The sequence below is a fragment of the Homo sapiens genome, chromosome 1 (assembly GCF_000001405.40).
Source record: "Homo sapiens chromosome 1, GRCh38.p14 Primary Assembly".
In the NCBI taxonomy this organism is placed as follows: domain Eukaryota; kingdom Metazoa; phylum Chordata; class Mammalia; order Primates; family Hominidae; genus Homo; species Homo sapiens.
In genome coordinates this window covers 89,743,358-89,762,633 of record NC_000001.11, presented here as the reverse complement: position 1 = coordinate 89,762,633, position 19,276 = coordinate 89,743,358, and the positions used below count along the sequence as shown (strand labels likewise).

Here is a 19,276-nt window from a genome sequence, read left to right as displayed (position 1 = left end):
TGTGCATGTGTGCACGCTGTGAGGGTGTGGTGTGTGTAACATGCTCCCATGTGTCCGTGTGCCCGCTCTGCAGGGGGAATGTTAATGTTTGATTGTTGTTTGGCTTCAGCCCAAAAGAGAAACAAATAATGAGGTGAACGGAAATGAGCTGGAGTCTCTGCTTTCACCGCTAATTAGTCCCTGCTCGATTTTGACGAAGAAGACATACAATAGACACAAGTGAGCAACGAATGAGAAACTCAGGGACCTAGGCTGGGGAAAGGGCGTCGGGTGGGGGGTGTGTGGGCAGGGCTAGGAAGGGAATCTCAGAAGCCAGTGTGCCTGGATCAGGCCGACAGGTCATTCCCACCCTTAGATGAAAATCTGCGCATTATTCCATCTTGGCTGGCATCTCTTATGGGCTGGCCTTCATCTTACTAACGCCATTTCACTTTTTGAAGGGTTGACAGTTACCTTCTTCACCTTCCCCTGGGCAGTTCTTTGTTGTCTTTGTCAGGCTGGCCCCTGTCCATATTTCTCAGAGCCCTGGTCACAGCTCTCTTACTCACCAGCTGCTCAGACAAACCCAGCCTTGACCTGGCTCTGCACTTCAGCACGTTGCCTGCTGCTCCTTAGACTCTTCTCTTGCTACCTGTGAAAGGTCAGATGCAAAATGGTGAAGGCAGAAACAGACTGTTTGATGACAAGGTGAGGAAGAGCTGCTGCTCAATATACCTGTGTGTCTATTGATGTGCAAGTGAGCAGGAAAGATGGTGGTAGAAAGTCATGTTAGAGACCTCTGTGGCAGACCCTTCAATTATCAGCAATGCCAAGGGTCCCTGTCTGTGGGGCCCCCACAGGCACAACTCGTATGGGCTCCAGAGACACCATTTCAGCTTGAGAATGTGTCCCCCAAGTTGCTAAAGTATGTGTCCTACCCTCAGAGTACCTGGTCTCTCCAGGGCTCTCATAGCCCCTTGTGAATATATGCCTAGGAGTGCATGCTCCTTGAGCATGAATATGAGAATTATAAAAAAAATTCTTCACCCAGAGCAGGTTCTCCTCAGACTTGTATTCTCGAATGTGTGTGTGAGAGAGGGAACTTCATTTCTTTCACATCCTAATAAATACAGAGAATGGTCACTTCTTAGAAACTGTTGTTCACAGCACTTCTGGGTTGTTGCTAGTCTTTATTCCCTTTCTTTTTGCTTGCCCCTTTAGGGCACAACTGTCCCAGTACAGGTTTTCTTTCTAATGCTGCTCTTCTTTTTTGTTTGTTTGTTTGAGATGGACTCTCACTCTGTTGCCCAGGCTGGAGTGCAGTGGTGCGATCTCAGCTCACTGCAAGCTCTGCCTCCTGGGTTCAAGCAATTCTCCTGCCTCAGCTTCCCAAGCAGCTGGGATTATAGGCGCGTACCACCACACCCAGCTAATTTTTGTATTATTAGTAGAGATGGGGTTTCACGATGTTGGCCAGGCTGGTCTCGAACTCCTGATCTCAAGTGATCTACCCGCCTCAGCCTCCTAAAGTGCTGGGATTACAGGCATGAGCCACCATGCCCAGCATGCTCTTCCTTTATAATTTGGTAGATTGGGCCATGGTGGGAGTTCTCAAACTTTAATAATAATAAAAAAAGTCTCTCAAGGAGTTTGTTTTAAATGCAGATTTCTCAGGTCCTGCCCAAATCTATGGAATCAGAATTTCTGGAGCAGTCCATGGGAATCGGCATTTTACCAATCCCTCTGCTACCTCCTCCTCTAAGATCCGAAGTCAGATGGTTCACAGAACACATATCATAAAACGTGGTGCTGATGGAGGCCTTGGGCCCTTGTCTGGCTTGCTCAGGCTGCTATAACAAAACACTGTAAACTGGATGACTTATAAACAACAGCAATTTAATTCTCACAGTTCTGGAGGCTGGAAGTCCAAGATTGGATTTGGTTTCTGGTGAGTGCTCACTTCCTGTTTCCTAGAACAGTTCTTTTCCCCTGCGTCCTCACTAAGTGAAAAGGGAAGATAAGCTCCCTTGGGCTCCTTTATAAGGGCACTGTTCTCACTCATGAGCCCTCCATTTCATGACCTAATCACCTCCCAAAGGTCCCACCTCTTAATACCATCACCTTGGGGTTTAGATCTCAACATATGAGTTTTGGAGAGACACAAACATTCAAACAAAAGCAGTCCTTTTCTTAATTTTGAGAGTTATTTATATATTTTAGACTCAAGACCTTTCTTAGAGATGTAATTTCTAAATATTTTCTTCCTGTCTGTAATTTGTCTTTTGATCCTTTGTCCAAGGTCTTTCACAGAAGTTTTTAATTTTGATGAGATCCAATTTATAAATTTTTCTTCTTATGGCTCATGCTTTTGGTGTCAAGTCTAAGAACTTTGCTTAGTCCTACACCCCAAAGATTTTTCTCTTATATAGTTGTATGTTTATGTTTTAGTCAATTATCCATTTTGAGTTAATTTTGGTATTGGTTTAGGTCCAATTGCTCCAGCACCATTTATTGAAAAGGCTGTTTCTCCTCTATTGCATTGCTTTTACTTCTTTGTCTAAAATTAATGGGAATTTTGAGTGGGTCTATATCTGTGTTCTCTATTCTGTTCCACTGATTGATTGCTTTGCCTGTTCCCTCTACCAATACCATACTGTTTGGATACAGCACTTATATATAGGGCCTTAACATTTGGAAGCGTGATTCTTCCCACTTTATTCTTGTTTTTAAAGTTTTTTTTTTTTTTTTTTTTTTTTTGTTTTTTGCAATTCTTGGGTCTTTCCCTTTCCATATAAATTTTAGAGTAAGCTTGTCTATGTCTATGAAAAAAACTTATTTAAATTTTGATAGTAATTACATTAACATGATCTGGTTACGGAGAAGAAACTGTGTGGAAAAGTTGGGCAGTCGTAGTTGCTATATGATTTGTTAATAAACTTTGATCCTTCTAGAATCCTAGAACCAGAGAGGACTCAACACTTTAAACTGGCTCCAGGGAACATTGTAGGTTCTTGGGGGTTCATAAACTGTCTTTAGGAAAACGGAGCTGTCTTAAGAGAAGTAAGTTGTACGTACTTCTCTGAGAACCGAACTTTCTCTCTTATGGCTGTGAGAACCAAATGTTTACTTAAGTAAAATTGATCTTCATTTCTACTTCAACAGGGAAGGAAGAGCTGAAGGACCCTGGGGATGATTGAACATAGCCTCTCACCAGCGCGCTCAGGAATTGTCCTGAGAGCAGCAGGAGGAGTGGTAATCCTGCAAGAGAAGGTGGCTTTGTTGAGAGCCTTTAAATTCAGCTTTATTACTCGCCAGTCTCCTTCCTTGTGTTCTGGCCATATTTCTTATCCATTAGGCAGCCAGCCCTTCACATGAGATCCTCCTGGTTTTGCATTCTTTTCTGCAATGCTGACACTTCCTTCTAGTTACACCCTTTGGCACTCTAATCTGTGGTCTTAGTTTTAGTCACTGATGAAGATATTTGGCACATTAACTCTTATTTCAGTTAACACCAGATGAAGTGAACTCAATTCCTCTTCTCACACAAAAGTTGGCCCCAAACTAGTTCAAAAATATATTTGAATTCTTTCTTGGCTAGTGTCGGTTATTTGTGTCCCTTTAGTGATCTGATTAATATTTGCTTTTGTGATGGTTGTCACATCAAGATAGCTGCAAGCATTGTTAAAGAGACATTTGATAAGAGGGACTACTTACCTGGAATTCACCCCCAGACCACCGAAATCTTAACTACTGATGACAGTTTTGTGTATCCTTTAAGGAGCTCTTGAACTCTGAATTCTATAGAGAAAATAAAAAGATTTGTTGAAAATGACTGACCCCATGTGGGTTGAGAACTATATCCAGTTAACTAAACTGTAAACAGCTAACTGAATCTGTTAACAGTTAAGTATGTTATCTATAAAATAAGCTTCAAGTAGCACTGTGTTGTAACTTCTTGGTGCCTCCAAATTAAGAGTTAAACCCTTAGATCTGGCTAAGGAAATGACTTTATCCTAGCCCAAAGGAGACCTTTTCCTCAACTCTTCCTCCATTATTTTTATTCTCTATTGTTTACTCATCGTCTCATATGTCCCCTGTCATGTTACATTGGAATCATTTCTTTTAGATGCAAACTGCAGCTGATGTGTTCATTGGGTCTATTGCAGCCCCCACCAAGTGTTCACTTCTGGTGAGAGGCATATCCAGGGCCTGAGTGCTGGAACCCAAAGATGACAAGGGTGGAGCATTGATGAGTTAACCTCGCAGCTGGAGGGTCTGTGCTGCATAGTCTCCCCTTGGGCCATGAGAGCACATGCTTGAGAATTACATAAGCCTGTAGCAGGGCAGGGCTCAGGGCTACGGAATTGATAACACCAGTGGGACTAAGGCATCCACCATCTGTTCTTTGTTATGTTCATGCCCATCACCAAAGTAAAAATCACAGTCATCCTTCTCTCCACCATTTCTGTCTCAATCAATCACTTCCTCCTAGGCTGGCCAAATTATCTTCTTCAACTTGCCAGAGGAAGAGGGAATGTCTTTTGGTAAGGCACAGAGGAGCCCTTGGTTTTCCAGTTACACTCCTGCTAATTGCAGAGATTTCTCAGTTCGTGGTAATCATGGAGGCTTGCATCTTTAAGCGCTTGCCATCTGCAAAAACTGGCCCCAGTTGCTATCCGGAGATGGCATCTCCCACTGAAATCTGCATGAACTTTGTCCCTGTGGGCTGCAGGGACCTGAGTAGTTTTCAAGTCCCTGGCTTTTGATAGGAAGCAAAAAGCTTCTAGATTGAGTACAGCCTGAAAAAGGAAGAGAAATCGTGATACTTCCTGTGTTGCAATAACAAACACCCGTCCTAACTGCTGCTAGACAGGGAACTGGCAGTTTAACCTCTTCCTGCTCACTAGGGAGGTGGGGCAGGGCGAGTGGGAGTGGGGAGCTCCCCTTTCTTGCAGGCTCCATCCACAGAACACTTCCTACAAACCCCTTCCTGCCTTTGTAATCCTAGTGTTGCAAAGCTGCCCTGTCTGCTCTGTGCAGAGCCCTCTCTGTGCTCTGCCTCGCCTGTGCCCTCTCTAATTGCCCTCTTCCTTACAAAATCCAGCTGCCGGTTGAGGCTTCTCTCCCTGAATTTACAGCCGTCTAATCAACTGGTAATTTACTTTCAATCAGTGCCGGATTGTGTTCCTCAGATTCATATCTCCTTTTTCATTTAGTGAGGAAATGATTGCCTTTCCTCTTTACCATTTGTTTTAAATATTAGCTGCCATGTTGTGCCGAGCAATGGTCTCTTAAATACGAAGGTACGATCTGGCAGTTCAAGACAGCATTTGTCCAAAGCTGTCTGAACACTTACAGTGTGCTCGAGGCAAGTCCGCATGCCTAGGACTGGGGTAGCGTCTGTCATGCTGTCTTATGCCCCAGTGACTTAAGTTCTTCAGTTGTCAGTGTCAAATCTTGATTTCTAGAGGCTCCTTGTTATTTAATTCCAGCCAGGAACTGATTTCCTTGCAGGCTTCTGTGAGGCCATCCTGAATGGCTGCAGTGGGGTGAGGATGGTCTGGGGCTGTGCTATGAGGCTTTGACCCTGAAGTTTCACCTGTTAAGATCTGAAAAACTGCAGGCCAAGAACATTAACAGGTTGTTTTGTGGCTTGTGGGGCAGGTTGAGTAGCACAGAAGAGAAGCTGGGGAGATGGAGAGAGAGCAGGCAAGGGGAGAGTCAGAGATGAAATGAGTGACCAGTGGGTCAGCTGAGGCTCATCCGCCCAGACCCTGCTCTTAGGCATATCTTGAATGTGTCCCTGGACATGCTCTTACATGTGAATGATGTTAGTAAGTCTCATCCTTTCTGCTGAGAAGCACTTTCCTAGTAGGACAGGATCGGGGCTGAGGAACTTTCGACCCCAGCCCACTTTCTAGCTATTTGCTCTTATTAAAAATCTTCCTGCTGGCCAGGCACAGTGACTCAAGCCTGTAATCCCAGCACGTTAGGAGGCTGAGGTGGGCAGATCACTTGAGCCCAGGAGTTTGAGACCAGCCTGGGCAACATGGCAAAACCATATCTCTACAAAAAATAGAAAAATTAGCTGGGTGTGGTAGTGCATGCCTGTGGTCCTAGCTACTCAGGAGGCTGAGGTGGGAGGATCACCTGAGCCCAGGGGGGTTGAGGCTGCAGTGAGCCGTGATCGTGCTACTGCGCTCCAGCCTGGGTGACAGTGTGAGACCCTGTCTAAAAAAAAAAAAAAAAAATCTTCCTCTGAAGAGCCTGAGGATTCCTCCCTTCTCCCAACTTCCCATACTTCTTTTATTTGTTTGGCTCATTTTCAAGAGCATTCTAGAATTTCTCTAAAGGAGGGCCTTAGTGGTGGCCATCTATTTGAAGCGCTAAGGTGGGTAGAACGATGCTAGAGGACATGTTTCAAAGTTGCCTGGCAGAGCAGGTAAGCTCCTTTCCTTCACAGGAAACGTAGGATAAGGGCACAGCTCCTGCAAGCAGCCTGCCTGAGTTCGAGTGCTAGGTGTCTCACTCAGCTTAGTGATCCCAGACAAGGTTCTTAGCCTCCATGTATCTCAGTCTCTCTTTCTATGGACTTAGGATAGTAATATCAGGATTCTTGCGATGATTAAATAAAATAATGACTGTTAAGTTATCTTCTGATTACTGTGCTTGGTACATGAATATCAATAAATGTTAGTTTTTACTATTAGGTTGCTGGGGATGGGGTGCGGGGAATAACAGAAATCACAGGGAAGGCTCCAGCTCCTCCAGAGCACTGCTAGTGGTGCCTTTGCTAAACACTCTTCACTGTTTTCGGTCTCAGTTGAAACAGAAGTTTCTCCACAAGGCGTTCCTCTCTACCTCCCAGCCTTCAGACTCTGAGTCAGGCATCTGTCTCTATGCTTCCCAGAACCCTGTGCTCACAGACACTCACCCTTTTCACCTCAGTTTAACTTGACCTCTGTAAAGACCCTGTTTCCAAATAAACTCATATTTGGAGGTACTGGGGGTCCAACATATCTTTTTGAGGGACTACAATGTAACCATAACACTGACCAAGCAGAATAACTGGTTGAGGAGGAATAGAAGTGGAATGGATTGTCATCCGAGAGTTTGAAATGGCTAAGGATATCTGGACTTCTGACATGCCCTCAAAACTCTCATGGAAACATTTGGATATTTCAGAAAAAGAGAAAGAAAAACTCACAGGTATAATCTAAAGACCTGATCTAAAGACTCATTAATGAGAGATAGATGACTTTCAAAAATAAAATTCCGATAACACAAGTGGAAGTGATTCTGAACAAAGGGAGTGTCTGGCTACCAAGAGAGCTCTTTGGTGAGTTCTTAAAGGGTCATGAAGAATTGTAGGAAGGAGGAGTGCATAATAAAGACAGAATATAACCTGCAAAAAGAAGCAGAGTGTGAAATACATTTTATAAAAATTCTAAGGGCAATAAAATGGGCTTTGTTAGACATATATAGAGCAAAGAGAACAACGTGGAGCAGGCACCACATGGGGCAGAAGATTTACGTCAGCAGATGACTATGGGCAGCAGCTGTTGATTTTGTTCTGAATTCTTCAATAGAATAATTTCCAAATTGTAAAGGCAGATCAAAGATGGGCAAAGATGAAAAGAAGTCAAATATTGATGAGGTAATACAAAGAAATCACTAGCTGTCTTAAATGAGCTCAAATATTTATACTAGACTAGGGGTCGGCAATTTTTTTCTATAGAAGTGATATTTTAGGCTTTGCAGGCCATATGGTCTTGGTTGAAACTATTCAACTCTGCTGTTATAGTGTGAAGGCAGCCATCGACAGTTTGGAAATAGGCAAATAGGCATGGCTGTGTTCCAATAAAACTTTATTTACAAAAATAGGCTGCTAGCCAGATTTGCGCTGGACTGCAGTTTGCTGATCCCTGCACTAAAGCAATGACAACCCAGACAACTGAGAGAACTTGCTGTTGCAACACAGAACCACTGTCAGTAATCTCTGAAAAATGCTGCAAGAAAGAGGAAATGCTCAGAATCTGGAGAAGGGCAAAGAACAAAAAGATTCTAAAATCTGTAGTTCACATGGTTTAGCACAGGTTTCTGACACATTTCCAGAACAAATGATTAGATAATCCTATATAACAAATGTGAACACCTACTTTGCACTATTTTAAGTTCCTAATGGTAAACACAACAGAAGTGGCCTTTGTACTCAAGGAATTTTTAGTGTCAAAAGAAAAAGTGATTTTGTAAGAAGTGATTACAGTGGCACTGAATGCTTTGAAAGGGGTTGGAGCAATGAAGATTTAAGCAAGGGGATCTAACTTAGTTTTGGGGAATCAGAGGAGGTCTCTCTGAAAAAACTGAGATCTAAAGCATGAAATTAGCCTGGAAAAGAGGACAGGGTAGAAAAGCATTCTAAACAGAGGGAAGAGCCTCTGCAAAAGCATCCGAGAGACTCCTCAAGACACAGAAGTAAACCAAAAGAGGTCCATGTGGCTAGAGGACAGAGAAGGAGAATGGGACAGGACAAACCTGAGTGGCAGGACAAAACTGAGCAGCAGGCAAGAAGTTCAGGACTATGAACTTTGTCATCTCTCTAACACACCAGTCTAGCAACACTAGCAAAAATAAAAAGAGGTGACTTTGACAGAACTTTGTTGTAGTGAGCTCACATTGGCTCCAATAACCACAGTTCCCTTTTCAAATGCTCATGAACCAGCCTCTTAGCTCTTCTCCCTGCTCCTAGTCTTAGTTCCCTCCAATCACTCCCCACCCAGATGCATCTTTAAAATGCAAATCTGATCATATCATGCCCATGCTTATACACCTTTAGTGGATTACCATGGTTCTTGGGATTTCATGTATTTAGATTTTAACAAGGCAGTTAACTAAAATATTTTTTAAATTGATAAATAAAAACTAGGCTGGGTGCAGTGGTTCACACCTGTAATCCCAGCACTTTGGGAGGCCAAGGCGGGTGGATCATCTGAGGTCAGGAGTTTGAGACCAGCCTGGCCAACATGGTGAAACCCCATGTCTACTAAAAAAAAAAACAAAAAAAACAAAAAAAAAACCTGGGCCTGGTGGCGGGCGCTTGTAATCCCAGCTACTTGGGAGGCTGAGGCAGGAGAATCATCACTTGAACCTGGGAGGCAGAGGTTGCAGTGAGCCGAGATCATGCCATTGCACTCCAGCCTGGGTGACAAGAGCAAAACTCCATCTCAAAAAAAAAAAAACCAACCAAACTATATGTATACATATATATATACACACACACATATATACATATACACACACACATACACATATGGTGTATAACACGATGTTTTGATATGTATTCATTGTGGAATGGCTAAATCAAGCTAATTTGACATATTCAACATTTACCTAAATCTTTAATGATGTTTTTGGGTGGAAATGAATTTGTAGCTGATACAAATTTGAATTAATAGAATATAGTCAAATGTCTTTAATGTATTGCCACGGGCTCATGTAAGCTCCACCTACAGTTATGTCTAGAACATATGGCGTTCAAGGTCTCTGCATCAGGGGAATAGAGGAATAGAAGAATCAGATTGTCTCTTAAATGCCTTGGCCCGGGAGGAGCCAAGATGGCCGAATAGGAACAGCTCCGGTCTACAGCTCCCAGCGTGAGCGACGCAGAAGACTGGTGATTTCTGCATTTCCATCTGAGGTACCGGGTTCATCTCACTAGGGAGTGCCAGACAGTGGGCGCAGGTCAGTGGGTGCACGCACCGTGCGCGAGCCGAAGCAGGGCGAGGCATTGCCTCACCTGGGAAGCGCAAGGGGTCAGGGAGTTCCCTTTCCGAGTCAAAGAAAGGGGTGACAGACGCACCTGGAAAATCGGGTCACTCCCACCCGAATATTGCACTTTTCAGACCGGCTTAAAAAATGGCGCACCACGAGACTATATCCCACACCTGGCTCGGAGGGTCCTACGCCCACGGAATCTCACTGATTGCCAGCACAGCAGTCTGAGATCAAACTGCAAGGCGGCAGCGAGGCTGGGGGAGGGGCGCCCACCATTGCCCAGGCTTGCTTAGGTAAACAAAGCAGCCAGGAAGCTCGAACTGGGTGGAGCCCACCACAGCTCAAGGAGGCCTGCCTGCCTCTGTAGGCTCCACCTCTGGGGGCAGGGCACAGACAAACAAAAAGACAGCAGTAACCTCTGCAGACTTAAATGTCCCTGTCTGACAGCTTTGAAGAGAGCAGTGGTTCTCCCAGCACGCAGCTGGAGATCTGAGAACGGGCAGACTGCCTCCTCAAGTGGGTCCCTGACCCCTGACCCCCGAGCAGCCTAACTGGGAGGCACCCCCCAGCAGGGGCACACTGACACCTCACACGGCAGGGTATTCCAACAGACCTGCAGCTGAGGGTCCTGTCTGTTAGAAGGAAAAATAACAAACAGAAAGGACATCCACACCGAAAACCCATCTGTACATCACCATCATCAAAGACCAAAAGTAGATAAAACCACAAAGATGGGGAAAAAACAGAACAGAAAAACTGGAAACTCTAAAACGCAGAGCGCCTCTCCTCCAAAGGAACGCAGTTCCTCACCAGCAACGGAACAAAGCTGGATGGAGAATGATTTTGACGAGCTAAGAGAAGAAGGCTTCAGATGATCAAATTACTCTGAGCTACGGGAGGACATTCAAACCAAAGGCAAAGAAGTTGAAACTTTGAAAAAAATTTAGAAGAATGTATAACTAGAATAACCAATACAGAGAAGTGCTTAAAGGAGCTGATGGAGCTGAAAACCAAGGCTCGAGAACTACGTGAAGAATGCAGAAGCCTCAGGAGCTGATGCGATCAACTGGAAGAAAGGGTATCAGCAATGGAAGATGAAATGAATGAAATGAAGCGAGAAGGGAAGTTTAGAGAAAAAAGAATAAAAAGAAATGAGCAAAGCCTCCAAGAAATATGGGACTATGTGAAAAGACCAAATCTACGTCTGATTGGTGTACCTGAAAGTGATGGGGAGAATGGAACCAAGTTGGAAAACACTCTGCAGGATATTATCCAGGAGAACTTCCCCAACCTAGCAAGGCAGGCCAACGTTCAGATTCAGGAAATACAGAGAACGCCACAAAGATACTCCTCGAGAAGAGCAACTCCAAGACACATAATTGTCAGATTCACCAAAGTTGAAATGAAGGAAAAAATGTTAAGGGCAGCCAGAGAGAAAGGTCGGGTTACCCTCAAAGGGAAGCCCATCAGACTAACAGCGGATCTCTCGGCAGAAACCCTACAAGCCAGAAGAGAGTGGGGGCCAATATTCAACATTCTTAAAGAAAAGAATTTTCAATCCAGAATTTCATATCCAGCCAAACTAAGCTTCATAAGTGAAGGAGAAATAAAATACTTTACAGACAAGCAAATGCTGAGAGATTTTGTCACCACCAGGCCTGCCCTAAAAGAGCTCCTGAAGGAAGCGCTAAACATGGAAAGGAACAACCGGTACCAGCCGCTGCAAAATCATGCCAAAATGTAAAGACCATCGAGACTAGGAAGAAACTGCATCAACTAACGAGCAAAATCACCAGCTAACATCATAATGACAGGATCAAATTCACACATAACAATATTAACTTTAAATGTAAATGGAATAAATTCTCCAATTAAAAGACACAGACTGGCAAGTTGGATAAAGAGTCAAGACCCATCAGTGTGCTGTATTCAGGAAACCCATCTCATGTGCAGAGACATACATAGGCTCAAAATAAAAGGATGGAGGAAGATCTACCAAGCAAATGGAAAACAAAAAAAGGCAGGGGTTGCAATCCTAGTCTCTGATAAAACAGACTTTAAACCAACAAAGATCAAAAGAGACAAAGAAGGCCATTACATAATGGTAAAGGGATCAATTCAACAAGAGGAGCTAACTATCCTAAATATATATGCACCCAATACAGGAGCACCCAGATTCATAAAGCAAGTCCTGAGTGACCTACAAAGAGACTTAGACTCCCACACATTAATAATGGGAGACTTTAACACCCCACTGTCAACATTAGACAGATCAACGAGACAGAAAGTCAACAAGGATACCCAGGAATTGAACTCAGCTCTGCACCAAGCAGACCTAATAGACATCTACAGAACTCTCCACCCCAAATCAACAGAATATACATTTTTTTCAGCACCACACTACACCTATTCCAAAATTGACCACATAGTTGGAAGTAAAGCTCTCCTCAGCAAATGTAAAAGAACAGAAATTATAACAAACTATCTCTCAGACCACAGTGCAATCAAACTAGAACTCAGGATTAAGAATCTCACTCAAAGCCGCTCAACTACATGGAAACTGAACAACCTGCTCCTGAATGACTACTGGGTACATAACGAAATGAAGGCAGAAATAAAGATGTTCTTTGAAACCCACGAGAACAAAGACACAACATACCAGAATCTCTGGGACGCATTCAAAGCAGTGTGTAGAGGGAAATTTATAGCACTAAATGCCCACAAGAGAAAGCAGGAAAGATCCAAAATTGACACCCTAACATCACAATTAAAAGAACTAGAAAAGCAAGAGCAAACACATTCAAAAGCTAGCAGAAGGCAAGAAATAACTAAAATCAGAGCAGAACTGAAGGAAATAGAGACACAAAAAACCCTTCAAAAAATCAATGAATCCAGGAGCTGGTTTTTTGAAAGGATCAACAAAATTGATAGATCGCTAGCAAGACTAATAAAAAAAAAAAAGAGAGAAGAATCAAATAGACGCAATAAAAAATGATAAAGGGGATATCACCACCGATCCCACAGAAATACAAACTACCATCAGAGAATACTACAAACACCTCTACTCAAATAAACTAGAAAATCTAGAAGAAATGGATACATTCCTCGACACATACATTCTCCCAAGACTAAACCAGGAAGAAGTTGAATCTCTGAATAGACCAATAACAGGAGCTGAAATTGTGGCAATAATCAATAGTTTACCAACCAAAAAGAGTCCAGGACCAGATGGATTCACAGCCGAATTCTACCAGAGGTACAAGGAGGAACTGGTACCATTCCTTCTGAAACTACTCCAATCGATAGAAAAAGAGGGAATCCTCCCTAACTCATTTTATGAGGCCAGCATCATTCTGATACCAAAGCCGGGCAGAGACACAACCAAAAAGGAGAATTTTAGACCAATATCCTTGATGAACATTGATGCAAAAATCCTCAATAAAATACTGGCAAACCGAATCCAGCAGCACATCAAAAAGCTTATCCACCATGATCAAGTGGGCTTCATCCCTGGGATGCAAGGCTGGTTCAATATACGCAAATCAATAAATGTAATCCAGCATATAAACAGAGCCAAAGACAAAAACCACATGATTATCTCAATAGATGCAGAAAAGGCCTTTGACAAAATTCAACAACCCTTCATGCTAAAAACTCTCAATAAATTAGGTATTGATGGGACGTATTTCAAAATAATAAGAGCTATCTATGACAAACCCACAGCCAATATCATACTGAATGGGCAAAAACTGGAAGCATTCCCTTTGAAAACTGGCACAAGACAGGGATGCCCTCTCTCACCGCTCCTATTCAACATAGTGTTGGAAGTTCTGGCCAGGGCAATCAGGCAGGAGAAGGAAATAAAGGGTATTCAATTAGGAAAAGAGGAAGTCAAATTGTCCCTGTTTGCAGACGACATGATTGTTTATCTAGAAAACCCCATCGTCTTAGCCCAAAATCTCCTTAAGCTGATAAGCAACTTCAGCAAAGTCTCAGGATACAAAATCAATGTACAAAAATCACAAGCATTCTTATACACCAACAACAGACAAACAGAGAGCCAAATCATGAGTGAACTCCCATTCACAATTGCTTCAAAGAGAATAAAATACTTAGGAATCCAACTTACAAGGGATGTGAAGGACCTCTTCAAGGAGAACTACAAACCACTGCTCAAGGAAATAAAAGAGGATACAAACAAATGGAAGAACATTCCATGCTCATGGGTAGGAAGAATCAATATCGTGAAAATGGCCATACTGCCCAAGGTAATTTATAGATTCAATGCCATCCCCATCAAGCTACCAATGACTTTCTTCACAGAATTGGAAAAAACTACTTTAAAGTTCATATGGAACCAAAAAAGAGCCCGCATCGCCAAGTCAATCCTAAGCCAAAAGAACAAAGCTGGAGGCATCACACTACCTGACTTCAAACTATACTACAAGGCTACAGTAACCAAAACAGCATGGTACTGGTACCAAAACAGAGATATAGATCAATGGAACAGAACAGAGCCCTCAGAAATAACGCCGCATACCTACAACTATCTGATCTTTGACAAACCTGAGAAAAACAAGCAATGGGGAAAGGATTCCCTATTTAATAAATGGTGCTGGGAAAACTGGCTAGCCATATGTAGAAAGCTGAAACTGGATCCCTTCCTTACACCTTATACAAAAATCAATTCAAGATGGATTAAATATTTAAGCGTTAGACCTAAAACCATAAAAACCCTAGAAGAAAACCTAGGCATTACCATTCGGGACATAGGCGTGGGCAAGGACTTCATGTCCAAAACACCAAAAGCAATGGCAACAAAAGCCAAAATTGACAAATGGGATCTAATTAAACTAAAGAGCTTCTGCACAGCAAAAGAAACTACGATCAGAGTGAACAGGCAACCTACAACATGGGAGAAAATTTTTGCAACCTACTCATCTGACAAAGGGCTAATATCCAGAATCTACAATGAACTCCAACAAATTTACAAGAAAAAAACAAACAACCCCATCAAAAAGTGGGCGAAGGACATGAACAGACACTTCTCAAAAGAAGACATTTATGCAGCCAAAAAACACATGAAAAAATGCTCACCATCACTGGTCATCAGAGAAATGCAAATCAAAACCACTATGAGATATCATCTCACACCAGTTAGAATGGCAATCATTAAAAAGTCAGGAAACAACAGGTGCTGGAGAGGATGTGGAGAAATAGGAACACTTTTACACTGTTGGTGGGACCGTAAACTAGTTCAACCATTGTGGAAGTCAGTGTGGCGATTCCTCAGGGATCTAGAACTAGAAATACCATTTGACCCAGCCATCCCATTACTGGGTATATACCCAAAGGACTATAAATCATGCTGCTATAAAGACACATGCACACGTATGTTTATTGCGGCATTATTCACAATAGCAAAGACTTGGAACCAACCCAAATGTCCAACAATGATAGACTGGATTAAGAAAATGTGGCACATATACACCATGGAATACTATGCAGCCATAAAAAATGATGAGTTCACGTCCTTTGTAGGGACATGGATGAAATTGGAAACCATCATTCTCAGTAAACTATCGCAAGAACAAAAAACCAAACACCGCATATTCTCACTCATAGGTGGGAATTGAACAATGAGATCACATGGACACAGGAAGGGGAATATCACACTCTGGGGACTGTGGTGGGGTTGGGGGAGGGGGGAGGGATAGCATTGGGAGATATACCTAATGCTAGATGACAAGTTAGTGGGTGCAGCGCACCAGCATGGCACATGTATACATATGTAACTAACCTGCACAATGTGCACATGTACCCTAAAACTTAAAGTATAATAAAAAAAAAAAAATACCTTGGCCCAGAAATGACATCACCTTTACTCACCATCCATTGGCTGGAGGAAGTCACATGGCTCCAACCCAATTGCAACAGCGTTTGGGTAAAGCAAGGGAGTACATGGCATATTTGGCAAGAATTGTCTTTGCCACAGTGTGCTTATTGAATCTATGTATATCATAAAACATGGATGGTTAGTTAATATGTTTGATAGAATTAAAATTCAAAAATATCTCAACCGGGTGGAAAGATATACTAAATTAACAAAGAGATATTTAGGAAGATTAAATATAAAGTCCTACACTTTTGTTAAATTAAAAATGAACTATTTTAGTACAAGGTGGAAAATACCTTCCTTGACACATTTCAAGTAAAAGAAAACCACACAAAACAAATGGTTTTAGTTAACCACATGCTCAGTATGAATCCCAGGGCCTGCCAAAGAAATCTAAAGTAATCATAGCAGCATTAATGGATGTATGAAGTTTACAATAAAATCGATAACAATCCCCTTGTTCTCTTGGTTGGCTAGAGCACATCTGCTGGTGGGTTCAACAAAAGGGGCTCCCTTTAAAGAAGAAGACTGAGAAGCTGGAATGAATCCAGAGGAAAGTGAGTAGGATCCTGAGGTTTGTTGAAAGACATGGGGAAAACACTAGACTTCAGATGAAGAGATTCAGGTTTAAGTTTTGAAATTGCCACTTCCAGATGACATTGGGCAAAATCTACTCCCCACCTCTACCCAAAGCTGCATTTCTTCTCTCTAAACCTTATCTTCCTCCCGGGCAAAGAGGGAGATCTGTACTTGAATTTCTGAGGCCCTTTCCAACTTGAAAGTTTGGAAGCTACAAAATTACATCATCTGAGAACAGTTGAAGGAATCAGGGGAGATGTAGCCTAGAGCAGGAAATATTGAACGGGAACATAGGATCTGCTTTAATTATTTGAAAGGTCATCATGAGAAAAAGAAATTTAGATTTGCTCTGCGTGTCACTCAAGAACAGATCTATGGCCAGAGGGAAGAGGGTGTGGAGAATATTCTGATTGTCGGCACTTCCTAATGATGGAATGGGCTACCGTGTGAGACAGGGATCATTTAGCAGAAGCAAGACAGAAGTTCCCTTCTAGATCCTCCAAAAGTACCTGGCACAATTATATAAATCTGTGTGAGAACTACATAAACAATTTATCATGAGAACCTGCAGAAATCCCTCCAAATGTGCTCACCTCCAATCCACTTAGTCCATATTTGTCACCCATCAGCATCTTGGGTATCTTCTTTTTCTGGCTCTGTATACTTGATAACCTTCTTCCAACTTGGTGCTGAGATTGACAAGCTTATTTGGTGTTCTCCTTCTAGGTTGTGACCTTTACCCCTCTTTAAGACATAACTTTTTCTATCTGCTATTTGGCCCTTCAGACTGCAACTTTGGGCAATAGATGTCACAGTCGATGGCCTTCCCTAGCCAACAGAACAGTGTGCATTTAAACTGACTCCTCTGATGTTTTTATGTGATATGGGAGGGATATAGGACATTAGACTCCCTGTCAGGGCCACATAGAATAATCCTACCTTGGGTGGGAGGTTGGACTTGATGATCACTGAAGTCCTCTACCACTCTCAGATTCTATGATTTTAAGATTTATATTTACCACTGTTCACAGAAATAGAAAGTTTCAATGATTCTTTATCAGTGGTGATGCTCTTCCCAGAATGCCACCATTTAATAAGTCTCATATATGTACACATACTTCTGCTCCTGGACTTTGCAACTGACCTACTTTTAAAGCTCTTGGAGCAGCTCATGGAGATGAACTAATGCTTCTTAGTTTATTTGTTTCTGGTGTCCTGAATGACCAAAGGAAGCTCACGAAGTACAGCTGGCTAGAGAAGAAGGGAAAGCAGCATCAGTCGTGGAGCGGTGCTGATGATCCATGTGGTCAAACCATGGCTTTGGACTCTTTGGTTCTTGAGTTACCGAGAATCCAAGGCTGTTTGAAGAATGGCAAGGAGGAAAATCTGGCCATAGCTGTGTTGACTCCTAGAATGGTTAGATTCCAATGGAAAACAACAGAAGGTTAAGACCCTGGTTCCACAGGTATCCTGTACAATGGCTCTTCCTCTTCACAGTGATCTTATTAAAAACCCTGAATCTGATCATCACTCCACTAATACTCTCCAACTGTACTTATAATAATATCCAAACTCCATATCATGGCCTTAATGGTCTGATTCCTGTGTCTCTCTCCAGCCCTATTTCATATACTTATTCTAATATTTACTTCTTGAGGGCAGAAACCTTTTCTTATGTCCTGCTGCACCTGCAATATTGAGACCAGCACTTGGCACAAACCTCAATACCTGTTGGTTAAATAAATGAAACCAGGCTGGGCGCAGTGACTCATGCCTGTAATCCCAGCATTTTGGAAGGCTGAGGCAGGTGGATCACTTGAGGCCAGGAGTTTGAGACCAGCCTGGCCATCGTGGTGAAACCCCATCTCTACTAAAATACAAAAAATTAGCCAGGTGTGGTGGCACACACCTGTAATCTCAGCTACTCAGGAGGCTGAGGCAGGAGAATCACTTTAACCCAGGAAGCAGAGGTTGCAGTGAGCCAAGATTGCGCCGCTGAACTCTAGCCTGGGTGACAGAGTGAGACTGTATCTCAAAAAATAAATAAATAAATAATAATTAAAAAAATGAAACCAGTCTTGACTTCCAAAGGACTTTACTAAGTTCGTATAACGGAACCTCTCATCACTATATTCTTAAGAAGAAACCCTTTTTTGAACCCCCACCCCTATATTTCCATGACGCTTCAGGGATGAAAAGCACTCGTTTGATTACTGAGAGGATAGCTGGAGAAGTGAAGAATAATGTGATGTTCAGCTCAAACTCCTTGGGGGAATTCGGTTGTGAAAATGGAATTACCCAAGTTGGATTCCGCCCAGGATGCCAAGCTTAAGTTATTGGGTAAGTGCACATTAGAAAAATGAATTTTGGCAGCTGCCAAAATATTCTCTTTATGTGAAAGTAAGTGACCTTGGGTTTAGTTTCTGTTAACGGCTGGCTTTTTCTGGCAGAGGCAAGAGATGGATACTTTGCAATGGTTTTGCAATGACAGCAGCAGTACCAGGAAACTTGCGGGTTGTTACAGTGCATCCATTTCTCAGCATCCATTATAGTTAGGAATGTGATGGACCAAATGTGCTTTTTATTTTGCCAGTGTTTGGACTCTTCATTTGGAGAATAACCCATGATTGTAGCTGACTATATTCCAAGATTCATAAGCTTTGGCGCCTGAATCAGATACCTATGGAGGAAAAAGAAGCAATTTATTCATTCCTTTCTTTTTTTTCCTCTCCCATTTAACTGTCCCAAATGTCAGTGAATGAGTCAAATGTTCAATATTTTTCCACAGGGGCTGACTTTGGAGAAGCCAGTACAGTCCATCATACTGTTTTCTCAACTAGTTCATCGTGACATTCTGAGATTTTGAAAGGACACCTTTTCCGTGTCAAGCCGTCCCAGGGTGGCTAATATGCCTTTGCTCATTTTTGACAAGACAGAGGGAGGACAGGGTGACAACACAGCAGGATAAAAGGGGAGAGAGTGGCTGGATGCTGGCTGTTTATGCGTGGATGTTGAGAGTGGAAAATGCAGATGGAACTGAGGGTAAGA

General features: G+C 42.6%; 1 long non-coding RNA gene across 1 annotated transcript, besides 1 other annotated feature; it reads right to left on the bottom strand.

Annotated features, from left to right (window-relative positions):
- Nucleotides 1-3,695: 3,695 nt before the first annotated feature.
- On the bottom strand, nucleotides 3,696-18,821 carry LOC107985743 (uncharacterized). Its single transcript, XR_002958333.2, has 3 exons — nucleotides 18,638-18,821; nucleotides 16,822-17,636; nucleotides 3,696-3,777 (listed from the first exon to the last, which is right to left on the bottom strand). It is a non-coding gene; the product is annotated as an uncharacterized LOC107985743 (long non-coding RNA).
- Nucleotides 9,863-10,470: an enhancer, noted in NCBI's record as "NANOG-H3K27ac-H3K4me1 hESC enhancer chr1:90217723-90218330 (GRCh37/hg19 assembly coordinates)". NCBI's record gives its function as "activates a minimal SCP1, AML or CMV promoter by ChIP-STARR-seq in naive H9 embryonic stem cells {active_cell/tissue: H9 hESC(naive)}" and the evidence as "EXISTENCE:reporter gene assay evidence [ECO:0000049][PMID:30033119]".
- Nucleotides 18,822-19,276: the final 455 nt, after the last annotated feature.